The 16,030-nt window shown below is 42.5% G+C and overlaps 2 annotated features.

Moving 5' to 3' along the window:
* Positions 10,653-10,702: an enhancer, noted in NCBI's record as "active region_3693". NCBI's record gives its function as "activates an Ori minimal core promoter by ATAC-STARR-seq in GM12878 lymphoblastoid cells {active_cell/tissue: GM12878}" and the evidence as "EXISTENCE:reporter gene assay evidence [ECO:0000049][PMID:35858748]".
* Positions 12,765-13,265: an enhancer, noted in NCBI's record as "H3K4me1 hESC enhancer chr10:88357227-88357727 (GRCh37/hg19 assembly coordinates)". NCBI's record gives its function as "activates a minimal SCP1, AML or CMV promoter by ChIP-STARR-seq in naive H9 embryonic stem cells {active_cell/tissue: H9 hESC(naive)}" and the evidence as "EXISTENCE:reporter gene assay evidence [ECO:0000049][PMID:30033119]".

Raw genomic sequence — 16,030 nt, 5'->3', positions numbered from 1 at the left:
GGAAACAATGTATTAGTCAGCTTTGCTGTGATAACAAACAGCACCCCCCACCACCTAATCTCATGGCTTACTATAATATACATTTATTTCTCATTCACATTGCATGTTGGTGTCTGCAAATCAGTGGTGGTGGCTCTGCTTCATGTATCATCTCATTCCAGGGCTAGCCTGAAGGAGCAGCCTCTTTTTAGGACATGTCATTCTTGTGGCAAAGGGAAACAAACAGGATAGAGCTGAAACATCTAATAGCTCTTAAAGGTTTGGCTCATCTGTGGTGGATATTACTCCTGTTCACATCCCATTGGCCAAAGCAGGTCAAAGAACTATACTCTGACTTTGGAAAGCCACTGCAGATCACATGTATAATCCTCTTACAGGAAAGGAAGCAGATGGTTGGAATCAATAATCCAATCACCTGCATATTCCAAGATGTTAACTATTGCTGCAGTAGAGTATATGAATATTGCTGTTATTTTTCCATTCTCATATTTCTCATTTTTACAGTATTTATGACATTTTTATAACTCAACATCTATCCTATTAGGGTAAATTATAATGTCTGGAAGAGCTCACCTTGCCCATTATCTGGCCTTTGTTGGAGGAATTTGCTGACTATGAAAATCATACCATTCACCTTGTACCAATCAATCTGTCCACTTGACTTCCTTTTGAACAGTCTAGATTGTTTCAATTACTAATTACTACATTGTGACTGAAAATTGAGCACTTATAAGCATTAGTGAAAATATATGTATGAAAGAGGCTGACATATATTAGATATTCAAAAAGACTTCTTTAATCTAAATTATGGGCTATTTACATTGATAAATTTTCCAACACAACATAATAAAAACATCTGGTTTCACTTGTAGCATTTTATTTTGTAGTTCACTTTCCATTACAAAAGTGATAAATGTTCATTTTAGAAAATTATAAGTATATAATTTTCAAAATTACAAAAATATTAAAAAGCAAAAGGCAGTAGATAAAAGCACTAGTTATCTCACAACCCTGAGATAACCACTTTTAGCATTTTAGTCAATATATTTTCAGTGATATTTCCAGCATATGTAACTATATTAAAAGGGTTCATATTATGATTGACTAGTTTCAATTCTCATTATGGTATGACTTCTCTATGCCATTAGATATTATCCTATAGTATTAATGGCTGTGCAATATCTTATCCTATGAGAGAAGCCTATTTTATTTTAACTAGTCTTCTGTTAATTACCAGTTTTGTTAAAAATTCCTTTATAAATGAATAATTTCAAACATCTATAATTAATTATTTCCATAGGCAGCTTTCTGGGATCAGAAATTCTGGAGCAAATTATTATGTACAGTTTTAAGGGCCACAGTATTGAATTACAAGAAAAAAACTCAAAATCAGTCTACTTTGTATTATTATATACGATTGCAGATCATCTGTGGTATTTGTCCTCCTGCATTCATCAGTCCCCTAAAGAGATACCAAGGTATTCTTCAATGTTAGAGCAAGTAGAGAACTTTCACATACAGAAATAGTTAACTAGATAATTTGGAACTACCCTCCCACCAAACACAACTGAAATAATCCATATGGAATATAAAAAGCTTCTGGCCAGGTGTGGAGGCTCATGCCTATAACCCCAGCACGTTGGGAGGCTGAGGCAGGTGGATCACTTGAGGCCAGGAGTTCTAGACCAGCTTGACCAACATGGCAAAACCCTGTCTCTACTAAAAATACAAAAAATAGCCAGGCATGGTGGCATATGCCTGTAGCCTCAGCTACTCGGTAGGCTGAGGCATGAGAATTGCTTGAACCCAGGAGGTGGAAACTGCAGTGAGCCGAGATTGTGCCACTGCACTCCAGCCCAGGCAACAGAGTAAGACTCTGTCTCAAAACAAACCAGAAACAAACAAAAAGCTTCTTTCTAAAACAAAGAAAAGCTAACAAGTTGCAAGAAATTGTCAAGGGTCAATATCCCTTGGTAGAAATCCAGAGAGAAGAGCTCAGCATTTGGGCCACTTTTGTCAATCAGAAAAGGTAGTTAAAACACTGAGGAGGCTCGGCCTTTCCAAGGGAAGGGTAACTCTGGAAAACCACCCCATACTTTAGAAGTGGAATTTTGATTGACTAAACCCTGAAAGTAAAAGTAAACAAAAAGTAAACTAGCCTTCCCCTTTACTGTAGCTCAGTTTCAAGAAATCTGGGTGATTCAGAAAAATCTCAAGCACTAAAATGGATTACAATGGTCCTGGATTGCTAATGTCCCCACACATTTGCAAAAGTAAATGAAAATCATTTCTAAAGGAAGATGATATCATCCTAGTACTAAAATTGCTCCAATAAATTTTTCAAGTACAGTTTCTAACACACAATCAAAGATAACCAGGCATAACAAGAAATAAAATAAGAACAAAAGTAAGCAGGAACAATAGAAAACAGAAAGAGGCTCACAGATACTCCAGATAGTGGAATTATTAGACAGAGATGAGGGGGAAAAAACTATCTTACTATCATCATAGGGTTAAAAACTGAACTCAAAAATTTCAGCAAAATATTGGAAACTATAAAAACAGACATTGAAGATTCAGGAACTAAAAAACATAATAACACAAATTAAAAACTCAATGGATGAGTCTAAAAACAGAGTAAATAAATAAGACAAGTTAGAAGAATTCATCCAGAATGGAGCACAGAGAGATAAATGGATGACAAATGGAAGAGAAGATCAGAGACATAGAGGGCACAGTAAGAAAGACCAATATACATTTAATTGGAATTCCAGAAGAAAGAAGAAATAGGGCAAAAGCAATACTTGAATAATGAATGAGACTTCCAGAACTGATGATTCAAGGACATGATGCAGAAATGGTGATGAAAGATATCAGTCCACAGATTCAAGAAGCCCCCAAAATCACACACAGTACTTAATTTATTTATTTACTTAGAGGCAGAGTCTCACTCTGTCACCCAAGCTGGAGTGCAGTGGTGTGATCATAGCTCACTACAGCCTTGAACCCCCAGGCTCAAGTGATTCTGTCACCTCAGCTTCCTGAGTAGTTGGGGATACAGACATGAGCCACCATGCTCTGCTAATTTTCTTTCTTTTTTTTTTTTTTTTGTAGAGACAGGGTCTCGCTAAGTTGCCTAGGCTGGTCTTGAACTCCTGGCCTCAAGCAATCCTTCCATTCAGTCTCCCAAAGTGTTGGGATTGCAGGGGTGAGCCACTACATCCAGCCATACACAGCATTAACATAAATCACACCCAGATGCTTCATTGTAAAACTGCAGAAAACCAAAAATAAAGAGAAAATTTTAAAAACAAGCAGAACAGAAAAAAGTAGATTATCTTCAGAGGAACAGACAGACTGACAACTGATTTCTTATTAGCAACTACAAAATCCAGAAGACAGTGAAATTATGTTTAATGTGATAAAAGAAAATAATTAACAACTTAGAATTTTATATTTAGTAAAATATCCTTCAAAAATGAAATTTTTTGGCTGGGCACACTGGCTCACACCTGTAATCCCAGAACTTTGAGAGGCTGAGGTGGGCAGATCACTTTAGGTCAGGAGTGTGAGACCAGCCTGGTCAACATGGTGAAACCCCATCTCTACTAAAAATACAAAAATTATCTGGGTGTGGTGGTGGGCACCTCTAATCCCAGCTACTCAGGAGGCTGAGGCAGGAGAATTGCTTGAACCCAAGAGGCAGAGGTTGCAGTGAGCCAAGATTGTGCCACTGCACTCCAGCCTGGGTAACAGAGGGTGATTGTCTCAAAAAAAATATTATTTTTATTTTTGAGATAGGGTTTCACTCTCCCACCCAAACTCATGCCACTCATTGCAGTGGCATGATCACGGCTCACCACAGTCTTAACTTCCTGGGCTCAGGTGATCCTCCTACCTCAGCCTCCTGAGTAGCTGGAACTACAGTCACCTGCCATCATGCCCGGCTAATTTTTGTATTTTTTGTAGAAACAGGGTTTCACCATGTTTCCCAGGCTGTTCGCAAACTCCTGGGCTCAAGCGATCCACCTGCCTCAGCCTCCCAAAATGCTAGGATTACAGGCATGAACCACCATGCCCAGCCAAGAATGAAGTTTAAATAAACACATTTTTAGGGAAACAAAAACAAAATAATTTGCTTTCAGAAGACCACACTGAAGGAAAAACTAAACAGGTCTCATCTCTTCAGATAGAGGGAAATGATTCTAGAAGAAAGATTGGAGATTCAGGAAGAAAAGAAAACCAATGAAATGGTAGTTATTTGGATAAGTCTAATGAATATTGGCTGTGTAAGACAACAATTATAATATCTTGTAGGGTTTTGCCGGGCGCGGTGGCTCATGCCTGTAATCCCAGCACTTTGGGAGGCTGAGGCGGGTGGATCACAAGGTCAGGAGATCGAGATCATCTTGGCTAACACGGTGAAACCCCGTCTCTACTAAAAATACAAAAAATTAGCCAGGCGTGGTGGCGAGTACCTGTAGTCCCAGCTACTCGGGAGGCTGAGGCAGGAGAATGGTGTGAACCCGGGAGGCGGAGCTTGCAGTGAGCCGAGATCAAGCCACTGCACTCCATTCAGCCTGGGCGACAGAGTGAGACTGCGTCTCAAAAAAAAAAAAAAAAAAATCTTGTAGGGTTTTAAAGAAATGTAGAATTAAAATCTATCACATAGCACAAAAATTGTATATGTGGTAAATGGGGTTAAAATAGTCTAAGGTCCTTGCATTCCTGGGAAGAGGTAAAATTCTAATTAATATTAGTATTTAATAAGTCAGAGATACATGCCATAATATCTAAGATAAACATGAATGTCTTAATTTAAAATTAATTAACTCATGCAAAAAGAACACAAGAAAATACTTTTTAAAAGGAGTGCTAAGAAGACAGTACAAATAGAAATCATATAGTTTGATGGTAGAGTTGAACCCAAATACACAAATAATTACATTAAATGTAAATGGACTACATGTTTTAGTTAAAATTCAAAGATTGTCAGACTGAATGAAAAAGCAAAACCCAAATATATTCTGTTTACATGAAACACATCTAAAACATAAGGATATAACAAGTTTGAAAGTAAAAGAATAGAAAAAGGTATACCACACTAATACTGATCAAAATAAAACTGGTATAGTTATATGTAGAAAATTGTGTTTTTCCAAAAATGCAAAAGTAATATTTCTGGTTCTACATGTTCTTCCAGAACTTTTACACTCCTTCATTAAGAGTCTATTTCACCTTCTCCTGAATTTAGACAGGCCTTTGTGACTGCCTTGATGAACAGAATATAGTGAAAGTGGTACTGCATGACTTTAGAAGGTAGGTCATAAAACACAATAGAGCTTCTGCTTGATTCTTTCTCTAAGAATGCAGACCCAGCCAGGCGCTGTGGCTCAAGCCTGTAATCCCAGCACTTTGGGAGGCTGAGGTGGGCGGATCACGAGGTCAGGAGATCGAGACCATCCTGGCTAACACGGTGAAACCCCGTCTCTCCTAAAAATACAAAAAATTAGCCGGACGTGGTGGTGGGCGCCTGTGGTCCCAGCTACTTGGGAGGCTGAGGCAGGAGAATGGCGTGAACCCAGGAGGCGGAGCTTGCAGTGAGCCCAGACCATGCCACTGCACTCCAGCCTGGGCTACAGAGCAAGACTCCGTCTCAAAAAAAAAAAAAGAATGCAGACCCTGGGAACCAAGAAGTGGCCATATGTAGGTATTCAGGCCAACAACCAGCTAGGATTCCAGCCCACAACCAGACACAACCACCAGACATACGAGTAAATAAATCTTCAGATGATTCCAGTCCTCAGTCTTTGAGCCAACCCAGCTAACACTAAATGGAGCAGAGATGAAACTATCCCTACTGAGTCTTGCCCAAATTATAGATTTATAAGCAAAACTATGTCATTATTGTTTTAAGCTGCTAGTTTTAGGGTGATTTGTTGTATAACAATAGATAAAATAGTATGTTAATATCATAAAAAAAAACTTTAATGCAAAAAAAAGTTTCAGTGATAAGCATAGAAAATTTAAATCACCAAAAGGATATAACAATTCTAAACTTACATGTACCTAATAAACAAAGCCTTGAAATATATAAAGCACAAATTGAGAGAACTATAATAAGAAATACACAAATCCACAAACATAGTGGAAGATTTTAACACACACCTCCGAATGGACAGAATTATCAGAAAAAAAAATCAGTAAAGATATATAAGATTTGAATAACACAATTAACTTGGTAAAACATGTATATATAAAGGATTGCACCTAACAATTGCAAAATTCACATTCTTTTCAAGGACACAAAGAATTTTTACAAAAATTGACCATATGCTGGGCCATAAAACAAGTCTCAATAGATTTCAAAGGCTTGAAGTAACCACAGAGTATGGTCTCTGATCACAAAATAATTAAATGCTCAATAACAAAAATATAAGTAGAAAATTTGCATGTGTTTGGAATTCCAAATAATTAAGCAATGCTTTAAACAACATAGAACAATATTATTCTCTTACTTTGAGTTCCCATAAGACCAAGACCTGAGAAAAGTTGTACGCAGTTTACTTAGGAAATTATGTCAGGAAGCAGAAATGTAGGCGAGGGAAAGAGAGAAAACAAAGGCAAGAAAGCTAATTAAGGGCAAGGTGATGAGCTGGTGTGGCAACTGAGCTCATTCCCACTGGGGATCCCTGAAGTACTTTTTTTTTTTTTTGGTGGAGTCTTACACTGTCACCCAGGCTGGAGGGCGGTGGTGCCATCTTGGCTCACTGCCATCTCTGCCTCCCAGGTTCAAGTAATTCTCCTGCCTCAGTCTCCCAAGTAGCTGGGACTACAGGTGCGCGTTGCCACACCCAGCTAATTTTTGTATTTTTAGTAGAGACGGGGTTTCACCTTGTTGGCCAGGCTGGTCTCAAACTCCCGACCTCAAGTGATCCGCCCACCTTGGCCTTCCAAAGTGCTGGGATTACAGGCATGAGCCACTGCACCCGATCCCCTGAAGTCCTTCTACAATGAGCCCACCAAAGGATGGGGAGGTTAGAGAATTATCCACTGACTGTAAGCCCTGAGGTAAAAAAGCAGAGAGACCTCAGTGCCTAAATGGGATTCTGGTAACTTGAATGGAACGGTCTAAAAGTTGCATGGGTTGCGCTAAAAGTAAAAACATCACAACTACCTGACACAGTTCTTTGGCCTTTGTGACCAATACTCTGGCTGAAAATGTTCTGTTTGCCTTCGACATTCAATCCACTCTGTGCCTTGGAAAGTGGATAGATAAGAACACAGTTGTTCTGTAAGATGCCAGTTAGCAAATATTTGAGGCTTTGTGGGAATATGGTTTCTGTTGCAACTACTCAACCCTACTGTTGTAGCCTGAAAGCAGCTATAGAAATATTAACAAATGGGCTGGGCGTGGCTGCATTCCAATAAAATTTTAGTTATGAACACAGAAATTTAAATTTCCTGTAATTTTATGTTATGAAATATTATTCTTCTTTTGATTAAGAAGACTTAATTTTTCCAGTGATCTAGTGGAATTATAAAAAAAAAAGACTTTATTTTTTAGAGCAGTTTTAGGTTCACAGCAAAATTTAGTGGAAAGTGCAGAGTTCCCATATACCCACCCACAACAGTCTTCCCTCAAATCAACATCTCCCACCACATTGGTACATTTGTTACAATTAATGAATCTACAGTGACACATTGTTATTACCCAGAGTCTGTAATTTATATCAGGGTTCACTCTTGGTGTTATTCATTCTACGAGTTTGGACAAATGTATAATGACATGTATCCATCATTTTAGTATCATGCAGAATAGTTTTGCTGCCCTAAAAATCCGTTGTGCTCCACCTATTCATCTTTTCTTCCCCTCTATCCCCTGGCAATTACTAATTCTTTTACTGCCTCCATAGTTTTGCCTTTACATTAATATCATATTGTTGGGATCACACAATGTATAACCTTTTCAGATTAGCTTCTTTCACCTAGCAATATGCATTTAAAGTTCCTCCGTGTCTTCTCATGGCTTGATAGCTCATTTCTTTTTAGTGCTGAATAATATTCCATTGTTCGGATGTACTACAGTTTATTTATCCATTCATCCACTGAAAGACATCTTGTTTGCTTCCAAGTTTTGCTGATTATGAATAAAGCTGCCATAAACATGAATATGCAGGTTTTTGTGTGGACATAGTCTTCAGCTCCTTTGGGTTAGGAGCATGACTGCTGAGTTGTATGGTAAGAGTGTGTTTTTGTCAACCATTCAAAAATGTAAAAAGCATTTCTCAGCTCAAAGGTCATGTAAATACAGGTGGCAAGCTGAATTTGGATTCCTGGCTATAGTTTTGCTGACATGTGGACTACAGCAAAGTTTCTTTGCTTCCTGTTGGAGGCACAGGCAAGAGAGCAGAGGGCAGGAGGGGAGTGAGGCTGGAGTACTTACCCTCCTAACTCAGTCCAGGCCAGGGCACCATGGTTGCTTCATCCCCTCCTGAGGAGGCCCTCTTCTATATCTTCCCTATCCAGATTCCTCCAGCCCCTGCTCTTTCAGGCCTAGGGGTGCCAACAGCTTCCTCCTCTTACTAGCCCCAGGAGACTGCACCATTTTGCTGTTTTCCCTTGAAGCTGCCCGTACAATTGTAAATGATCCCATTCAGTAAACTCTCCTCAATTTCCCTGTTTTAGTGTGTCATCTGTTTCCTGCTGCACACTGACTGATCCACTCCCCTGTCCTCCCAGGGTTTCTCGCCCTGGCCTCTGCGTAACTCCACCAGCTCAGAAAACTTTTTTGAGCTTTACTTTCTAAGTTATGTTACAAAATCAAAGGTTTGGGTAACATGATTTTTCAGTTACTTGTGGCCCCTCCAAGATCACGGTACCTTCCATCAGAGATGGCTTTCCTCCTTGTCTAAGTTAGTACTATGGTTTGAATGTCCCCTCCAAAACTCACGTGGAAACTTAATCCCCAGTGTGGCAGTATTGGGAGGTGGGGCATTTAAGAAGTGATTGGATCATAGATTAATCCCTTCATGGATTAATAGGCTAATGAATTAATGGGTTTTCATGGGAGTAGAACTGGTGGCTTTATTAGAAAAGGAAGAGAGTCCGGGTGCAGTGGCTCACGCCTGTAATCCCGGCACTTTGGGAGGCCAAGGCAGGTGGATCACCTGAGGTCAGGAGCTCGAGATCATCTTGGCCAACATGGTAAATCCCGTATCTACTAAAAATACAAAATTAGCCAGTCATGGTGGTGCATGCCTGTAGCCCCAGCTACTTGGGAGGCTAAGGCAGGAGAATCACCTGAACCATGGGAGGCAGAGGTTGCAGTGAGCCAAGATCGCACCATTGCACTCCAGCCTGGGTGATAAGAGCAAAACTCCATCTCAAAAAAAAAAAGAGGAAGAAGAAGAAGAAGGAGGAGGAGGAAAGAAGAAAGAAAGAAAGAGAGAGAGAGAGAAAGAAAGAGAGAGAGAGAAAGAAAGAGAGAGAGAGAAAGAAAGAAAGAAAGAAAAGAAAAAAGAAAAGAGAAAAGGAAGAGAGACCTGAACTAGCACATTAGCACGTTCAGCCCCTTGCCATGTGAAACCCTGCACTGCCTTAGAATATTATTCAGCACTAAAAAGAAATGAGCTATCAAACCATGAGAAGACACAGAGGAACCTGAAATGCATATTGCTAAATGCATGCAGCCCTTGGACTTTTCAGCTTCCATAACTATAAGAAATACTTGTATTTTCTTCATAAATTACCTATTTTCAGGTATTCTGTTTAAGCAACAGAAAACAGACTAAGATAATCAGCATCTCCCACACCTGTTGCAGTGTTTCCCACCAGTTCCTAGCAGTTCAGGGAAGCCACACCCAGAATTGCACACACCAGAGTAACTCGCCCTCTTCCACTGTCTCCTAGGCATAACTGTGGTGGTTACCCCTTTGTCCCTCCACCAGAAGCCAGGTCTAAGATGTCTGTGCAACCTGACCTAACCCAGCAAGAGAAGTGCCTTTCCTGCAATACAGGAGCTGACACTCCCCCTCTTCCCAGGGCTAATACACCCATTCTCTACTCTCAAGGCCAATCACACCTTTTCCACTCTGGAATACAGCTCTTATCCCAGGAGATTCACATGGTAATCAAAAGTTCTCCCAGGTCTAAGAAAGGAGGCCAACTACTGGGAATGCCAAGATGGACATGACATGATGCCTGTGCTCCCACGCTCATGGCAGAAGACAGACAATGACTCAGAACAATGGATTCATGGCTTCAATTCAGGCAAAAGAAGTGACACATTTCTATCAGGGGAAGGAAGATGCATTTGAGCTGAGCCTTGAGCTAGGATAAGTTTACAAGTCATGTAAAACAATGCAACCAGGGCTGTGCTTTTGGCTCCCGATGTCCAATATTCAGGCAAGAACAGCAGGAGCAGCATCCTCTAGCCCAACAATGGTTTGCCGGATGAAATAGAGTGCCCAGAAATTTGCAGAAGGAACCCAGGGCCTCAGAGCAGCCAGACTTCAAAGTCTGGTGTCTGCCCTTAGTCGAGGACCCTGGCCCTGCTTTTGCAGGACTTTTCCTTAGTTCAGGTAAAGACAGGGTCCTTGTCCCATGCCCATGAAAAGTTAGGCTTGCAGGTGATTTGAAGGGTGAGAATAATGGGATTTATTAGGCAAAAAGGTACAAAAGGGGAACAGGGACTCTCCGCCAGGCCAGAGTCCCTGCTGGTGCACTTCCTGCCTCGCAGTTTGAATCTCAAGTTCCACACAGAAAGAGGAGGGACCAGGCTCCTCCCCGCTGCAAATGGCACAAATTTCTGTGGCTCCACCCCAGTGTATACTCCTCCCAATGTGCAGGTCGGGGAGAGGCTCTGCCAGGGAGCCCTTCCTGCCTGCCTGTCTCACTGACACCTTTCACAGGCCTTCACAGAGGGAAGTGGGAGAAAGACCTCTGCTTGAATTTCTCTGGGAAACTGGGAAATGAGCAGGCAGGGTCTGGCACCTCTGTAGAAGAGAGCCATGGAGGGCCTGTGGTGGCCTGTCCTGGGTGTCAGAATATGGCAAACAGAACCAGTGGCCTGGACTCTACTCCCGGGACAATCATAAACTTGTGTGAAACCTTGTCCAAGACACTTTACTTGGTGTTGCATCTGTACGATGGATCCTCCATGGAGAGATCTACCTATGAGTTCCTTTTAAGGTTCAACATCCTTGAAATTTCTCCCGATGGTCCATGAGCAAATAAAATCATTTTGTGGAAAAGCTATATATCCAACAAATGTGATTGTAATTCCTGAGGAGTAACTAAATAATACATTAAATAGTATATCGGTAGCTTGCTTATTTCAGCCACCTGTCTGTGCTAGATGACTTTCATTTGCCCTCCAGACCCACTCTACAGATTGCATTCATGTGCTCTGTCAGAAGCATTTAAACCAGAGCAACTCCATCTTCAGTAGGGAGTGGGTAAAATAAGGCTGAAACCTACTGGGTTGCATTCCCAGACGGTTAAGGCATTCTAAGTTACAGGATGAGATAGGAGGTTGGCACAAGATACAGGTCATAAAGAACTTGCTGATAAAACAGGTTGCAGTAAAGAAGCCAGCTAAATCCTACCAAAACCAGATGGCCATGAGAGCGACCTCTGGTCGTCCTCACTGCTACGCTCCCACCAGTGCCATGACAGTTACAGATGCCATGGCAACGTCAGGAAGTTACCCTATATGGTCTAAAAACAAAAGGCATAAATAATCCACCCCTTGTTTAGCATATCGTCAAGAAATAACCATAAAATGAGCAACCAGCAGCCCTTGGGGTTGCTCTGCCTATGAAGTTGCCATTCTTTTATTCCTTTACTTTCCTAATGAACTTGCTTTCACTGTATTCTATGGACCCGCCCTGAATTCTTTCTTGCACAAGATCCAAGAACCCTCTCTTGGGGTGTAGATCGAGACCCCTTCCCTGTAACACTTGCAGATGGGCTTGGCCAGCGGGAAGGACCACAGGAGATGGGTGGAAGGGAATAAGTGAGGGCAGGTGAGTATTTCCAGCTTTCCTCCTGCTGGGTTGTGCCCTCTGCCATAAGTTGGTTGTGTCCCTTCACCAAATGCCATACCCCTTGTCTAGTGTCCCTCTCCATATACTACACTCTCCTCTTCCATAATCTCTTCCATCTCCTGCCCCTCCTGGTCAAGCTGTTCCCAACCTTGAGGCACTGCAGTAGCCCTTGCTGGAGTCCTTAGGCCCTGCGCACAGGTTTCTAAACAGTCTCTTATCAAAGCTTCCTCCAATTACTCAGTTTGAGTGCATCATCTTTTTCCTGCCAGGACCCTGACTAAAGCAAAGCCTAAAAGTTTGTGGATTTACATCACCCAGAAATCTCATCATTGGGGATGTCTTGATGATGCCAGCATTTCTGAATTTCTGTAAGTGAGACAGACAACAGCTGGTGATGTGGTCACACTGCAGTGAGAACATTTGGGCAGGGCAATTAATAGGCCCCAAGACATCTTTCTTTTTGGAAAAATACCCACCCACCCCCTACCACCTCCTCATACTGCTATAGCATTGCTGTAGCAACAAAATGGTAATTCAAAGAGGTATATTTTTATTTTAAAAGGCTCTCTGTCTGGGAAATTTCTACTCTACGAGCCGATGCTTGTGCTGTGAGGCTGAATCTTCCTTAAGAACAAGACAAAACGGCCGGGCACAGTGGCTCACGCCTATAATCCCAGCACTTTGGGAGGCCGAGGCAGGAATCATCTGAGGTCAGGAGTTCAGGAACAGCCTGGCCAACATGGTGAAACCCTGTCTCTACAAAAATACAAAAAATATTAGCTGGGCATGATGGTGCCTGTCTGTAATCCCAGCTACTTAGGAGGCTGAGGCAGGAGAGTCTCTTGAGCCCGGGAGGTGGAGGTTGCTGTGAGCAGAGATCTTGCCATCATTGCACTCCAGCTTGGGCGACAGAGCGAGACTCCATCTCAAAACAAACAAACAAACAAACAAACAAACAAACAAAAGACAAAACAAAAGAGGAACCAACAGTGCCTTGGAGGGAGTCCAATTAAGGAGCATGACCGAAAGGAGGGAGAACAGCCACAGAGAGCTAAGCCAGGCGGGAGCGCATCTGTTCAGGTCCGGGTGCACACAGCAGGTAACAGGGTATCGGTGAAGGTGCCAGGGGTGTCAGTTCCTAGTCACCTCCTCTTGCAGGTGCCGAGGCAGAGTCTGCGCGGTGGGAGAAGGCAGAGCCGGGCTGGAGTGCTTACTTTCCTTCTGTCCTCAGCAGCTGCACGTGGAAGGCGAGCAGGGCTCAAGGTGGATTGGGTGCATGGTGGTGTCCCAGCCGGGTCAGGAGGAACACTCAGCCAGGCTTGCTCCCCCAAATTCACATGGGCTATGCCACGGGAGGCCTCAGACCGCACCTTCGTCTTCCAGCCTCAAGGCGAGGGCCTTGCAGGTGTTGGCAGAGAAGGTGAACATCTCAAAAAAAAAAAAAAAAAATGCAAATATGAGCTGTCAGCTACAAGGGGTTGGGGGTTGTGTACCATCCTGATAAAGAGAGTCTAGATACCAAGACACCAAAAGCTTCACTATAATACCAGAGGTAGTAAATGAAAGTAGCATTTTAAGTCTGTGGAAAGGATGGATATTCCATAAATATTATTGAGACCATTGACTATCCTTTTGAAAAAAGAAAGTTTGGTCTACACCTCACACCTTGAATGAAAACAGGTTCCAAAATGGGTCCAAGATTTACCCACTGTAACAAACAAAAAAAATGACAAATGAACTGTATTACTGTATTAGTTATCTATCTCCGCATAACAAATTAACCCCAGATTTAGCAGCTTTAAACAACAAACATTTATTATCTATGGTTATGGGGGTCAGGAATCCAGGAGCAGCATAACTGGGTTCTGCCTCAGTATCTCTCATCAGGTTGCAGACAAGATATTGGCTCAGGCTGCAGTTTTGTTGTTGTTGTTGTTGTTGTTTTAAGAGACGGGGTCTCACTCTGTTGCCCAGGCTGGAGTGCAGTGGCTATTAACAAGCACAATCATAATGTCATAACTACAGCCTCAAACTCCTGGGCTCAAGTTATCCTCCGGCCTCAGCCTCCTGAGTAACTGGGACTACAGGCATGTGCCACCAACGGGCTGCAGTCATTTGAAGGCTCAACTGGAGGAGGCTCCCATTTCAAGGTCACTCATGTTGTTGTTGGCCAACCTTAATTCCCCGTTGGCTGTTGGACTGAGACCTCATTTCTCACCACTGGTTCATGCCAAGTCCAACCCAGATGTGCCCAGTTAAGCAGCTCTCCTGCAAGCAATGAGTCAGGAATTCAAGCTCTCTATCCAGTAACTCCACTGTCCCCAGGAATCTTGGACTCTTCTCCTGCATCCAGCCAGCTGGTAGGCAAGGGGAGAACATGGATGGTTGCATGAAAAGTTTGAAGAGCCACCCCTGAAAAAGGCACACATCACTTCTCCCCGCATTCCATTGGCCAGAATTCGACATGATGCTAGGGGGCTGGGAAACATAGCTCTCCTGTGTGCCCAGGAGAAAAATAAATCGGTTTGGTGAGCACATGGTATTGTGTCTGCCATGGGCCTGTAGGTAAGGATATCTGCTCTTCACCAGCCAGGGCTTGGCTGTCCAATGGAAGAACTCCTTCTTTTCAGCTCTTCAAATCACAAGTCAAGTGACTCAATGACTGAGTCAATAGGGAGAATTAGTGCACCCCAGCACCTGAACTTTATGAGGTCTCCAACTTGGTTTGGTTTCACTGGCCCCCTCATTCCTTCCTTTCCCAGGGAGGCCCTGACTTGTATCAACAACTGCTGAATTACATTACATGTACAGTGTCAGTGTGTCAATGTTACTAGAAACTTCTAAAATGCTACCCAAGGAGCTTTACTGAATATCCTTCTATTTATTTCCCCAGGTGTACCCTTGCATTTCTCCACCCTGCCCTGTCCCTTGGGAGGCAGATCCAAACACATTGTGTGTCAGTGCCCTGACCCAGGTGCGTTCTGTCAGCAGGAGGCACCAGCGGGTATCTGGAAAGTGGAGTGGGAGTGGGGCTGTCAGGTGCTTATTTCCCTGGCTCCTTCTTGTCAGGTCACCATGGATTGTGGTGTCTTTAACTTTTTTCAAAATGTTGAGATACAATTTAAGCTGGGCAAATTTAGCACTGTCTGTAGTCCCGGCTACTCGGGAAGCTAAGGCAGGAGAGTCGCTTGAGGCCAGGAGTTCAGGACCACCCTGGGTAACATAGCAAGACTGTGTCTCAAAAAACAAAACAAAACAAAACCAAAACAGGCAATGACAAAAAATGAGACAAAATTCACAAGTTGGCTGGGTGCAGTGGCTCATGCCAGTAATCCCAGTACTTTGGGAGGCTGAGGTGGGCAGATCACTTGAGGTCAGGAGGTCAGTGGCCTACACAGTGAAATCCCATCTCTACTAAAAATACAAAAATTAGCTGGGCCTGGTGGCACGTGCTTGTAATCCTAGCTACTTGGGAGGCTAAGGCAGGAGGATAGCTTGAACCCGGGAGGCAGAGGCTGCAGAGAGCCAAGATTGCGCCATTGCAATCCAGCCTGGGCAACAGAGTGAGACTCAATCACAAAAAAAAAAAAAATTCGCAAGTCATAAAATTTACCATTTTAACCATTTTAAAGTGTACAATTTAGAGATTTTTAGTATATTCACAATCTTGTACATTACAGGGGTGTCCAATCTTTTAGCTTCCCTGGGCCACATGGGAAGAATAATTGTCTTGGGCCACACATAAAATACACTAACACTAACGATAGTTGATGAGCTAAAAAGAATCACAAAAAATCTCCTAATGTTTTAAGAAAGTTTACACATTTGTGCCAGACCGCATTCAAAGATGTCCTGGGCCACATGTGGCCTGCGGGCCTCTGGTTGGACAAACTTGTCATAGAACCATCACTGCTATCTAATTCCAGGACGTTTATGTCATCCTCCAATAAACTTTGTATATTTCAACCTCCCTCTGCCCC

The sequence above is a fragment of the Homo sapiens genome, chromosome 10 (genome assembly GCF_000001405.40).
Source record: "Homo sapiens chromosome 10, GRCh38.p14 Primary Assembly".
NCBI classification, from domain to species: domain Eukaryota; kingdom Metazoa; phylum Chordata; class Mammalia; order Primates; family Hominidae; genus Homo; species Homo sapiens.
The sequence above is the reverse complement of the archived record's forward strand: the minus strand, read 5'-3'. Positions and strand labels throughout refer to the sequence as shown.